Source organism: Homo sapiens, chromosome 7 (genome assembly GCF_000001405.40).
Source record: "Homo sapiens chromosome 7, GRCh38.p14 Primary Assembly".
NCBI lineage: Eukaryota > Metazoa > Chordata > Mammalia > Primates > Hominidae > Homo > Homo sapiens.
Window position 1 is genome coordinate 53,218,306 of NC_000007.14, and position 3,098 is coordinate 53,221,403.

At 40.2% G+C, this 3,098-nt stretch overlaps 1 annotated feature.

Annotated features, from left to right (window-relative positions):
* Positions 623-1,124: an enhancer, noted in NCBI's record as "H3K4me1 hESC enhancer chr7:53286621-53287122 (GRCh37/hg19 assembly coordinates)". NCBI's record gives its function as "activates a minimal SCP1, AML or CMV promoter by ChIP-STARR-seq in primed H9 embryonic stem cells {active_cell/tissue: H9 hESC(primed)}" and the evidence as "EXISTENCE:reporter gene assay evidence [ECO:0000049][PMID:30033119]".

Below are 3,098 nucleotides of genomic sequence, written 5' to 3' on the forward strand. Positions count from 1 at the left end.
TTGTGTAAATTTAAGCTGATTTTAGTTGAAGTGTCAATTGATTTGTTGAAATGCTTACTGTAACAATTCCTATTTTATCCTCTTCTATAAAATTCAATACGGTTATGAAATGAGGTTTTATTTTAGGAACAGAGATAATTATCTAGTCCTTGAAAAAGGGTCTTCTCGACAAATTGCATTAGATTTAATTTTAAAGTGTTCTTGCTCTTGAAAAAGAATTTATTCTCTGTTCCATGAACATAGATATCAGAAATCAATTTTACTCACAGTTTGAAGCATGCTTTCTATGTCAACAAAGTTTGCCAATACATGACTTAATAGTATTCTTCAATTTTTATTACCTAATAAATTTCAGAAGCTCACATTTCACCTTTATATTTACAGATATACAGATAGATAGCTATGCTCATGTTTTAATTTTGGTATATCGTCGTTTTTATCAGTTATGTCTAAATCAGAGAATGTGGAAGAAAATGCTCCGTAGGACCAGTAACTTCGAATGCTCACTAGTAGGAAGAAGATTAAAATCTGTGGAGCTGCAGCATCTTGAATCTGTCCTTATAACTCAGGCCATGCTCAGCTTTTGGCGGCCTCGCAAAACCTTTTCCCCGCACCAGTATTCCCGGCTTCCATTTGGCCCCAGCTGTCTCCCTTCCCGCTCTGTACTTACAATGAGTTTATTTCTGTTCTTTGTCGTGACTTTCTCCTTTCTTTTCTGAAGTCATCCCTCCCTCCCCCCATTATTACTAGATGGCTAAAATAGAGTGGAGAGTACCCAGGACGGAGAGCACTCCACGCTGCAGGGATCATCAGCGAGACCAGAAACCCCCAGGCGCTCAGGGCAGCTGGGATCCGCGGTTTCAGGTTCCTCACTGCGGGGCGCTGCGGCCATGGCCCGGGTTTAGTTCGCGGAGCTGCGGGGCGGGACTGGGAATGCCGCACTTTCCCATGCCCGGTGGGTGGAATTCACAGAATTCTTCCTGTTTCCTTGAAAGCTGGACATGGGGGGAGAGGCGAGTACCCAGACGCCGGTTTTGCGGTGGGTTTCTCTCTGCGCTGTGTGCGGCTGAGCGGCGGTTATTGGGGCTCCACCAGAGGGGACGTGGACAGGCGAGACGGCACAGCCCCGGCGCAGCCCCGCGAGTCCTGCTAAGCCCAGCTCCCCGGACTAAGGGCCCGAGATACGGGCGTCCGATGGGACAGAGGAGTGGGGAAGAGACCGAGGGGGCCGCTAAGATTCTCTGCTGTTAAAACTACTGAACCTGTTCTTGAAATCAGGTCTGGGCCCAAGCAGGACTAATTTCTGGGATGAGAGAAATTCACAGGAACCCACAGCAGAAGACTGGAGTCCTTCTCTCCAGGGGGTGGGCAATCGGGTCCCCGCTGCTGGAATCCCCCACGGGTGAATTTCCCTTTCATTTGCACAAACACTTCTGCACTGACTTTATGTTAATCATTACACAGCAAATGCTTTCTTTTAAAAAAAAGCATAGATTATTTGCTTATATATGAACAGTTTAAGAAATAAAGTGAAAGGAATTGAATTTTTTGGGTATTTTGATAGAATATATATTAAATTTAAACAATATCCTTAAGAATATATGACCTTTGATATTTCATTGTTGTCATCTAATAGTATATTGCCTTTTTATAGTCTCTGCAGAGGTAAATTTCAATGCCGGATCATTATTATTTGTATTTTTAAGTTATTTTCCCCGGATAAATTTACAGAAAATATTAGCTGTGTAGTCTTTCAATTTGAAGTATTATACTGCTTAAGCAATGCCATTTTACGGATATTTAGGGATACAAATTTTTAAAAATCAATAAACTAATAAAGCATGAATTCTAGCAACCTATTTTTTAATCTATCTTCACCTCTATCCCTCACTTAACCCATTGTACTTGGCCAGTCGGGATATACTCTTCTACTTGGACAGTCAAGACATACTATTCTCAGGCTCTTGGCCACTCCCATTGTCTGTTTCTTCAACCTTTTCTTAGCTTTATTCCTTAAGAAGTTTAATCCCTCAGAATGCCAATTTATCCACTCTTTTGCTAAAACTCTTAAAACACCTGGCCTCCTTAACTGTATCTTGCTCTGATAGTATAAGTTGACACTACAGTATTGATCACCCATCTGCCTTTCTTGCTGTTACGATTTAGCAGCTGAGTGTGAGCAAAGAAAAGCCCATGACCAAGATAATTAGAGACTCTAAGATGTTCAGCGATCCATTAATTCACTGTGTGTCTCCTCAATGCTATTTTCATCTTCCAACCCCACAGTTATGGTTAGAAACATTCCACGCTTCCTCAAGGTTGTTACTCAATACCAGCCTGACCTCCCCTGTTGGATGTTATTGGGAGCAAAAAAGGTATTGCCAGGATCTAAGGTTTCCAGATTGTGCATTGCTGTTTCACCTCTCTGTCTTGTTACATACAGTCTTCCATTAAGCATTTTCTGTTCTCCTCCAATCCATGTTAATATTTTAACTTTGTCACTTTTCTGTCTTGTACATTTATGATGGCATTTACAAAAATTCATCACATTAATTTCTTGCATTCCCTCCCTCTTCTACAAGCTATTTAGTCTAAAAGAACAAAAACTAGTTCTTAATCATCTTTGTTTTCCTTATTACTTAAGCACAAATCGCTTAACATAGGCTGAAGGAGTATATTAATCACAACTTGTTTACAACTGTTCAAATTAAAACATTCAAAACAAGGTTAGGTATTGAGTTTTACTTGAATTAATTCCAGTAGAATATTTAATTCGCTGGAATGTGTATACATTTTTTCTTTAAGACTAGAAGTTATTCAGAGATTCTTGATCCTTTCATTTAATAGTACATCCTGAACAAATTTAGTATTAGGAGATAGTTTGAAATCCAAATAAAGACACAAATGGATTTGGAGACCTATTCAGTCCTTACATAATTCCTTTGAGAAGAAATTTTTAGACTATTCACTTCCTGGGTACGATGCTTTTGTATTGGAGCTGGGTGCAGTAGGCGCTTGCTCGTAGAGACTGTGGCACTGAGTTCAGCATAGAACTCTATTGAAATTCTAGCTCCACTGCCTAAATTGTGACTTCGGGC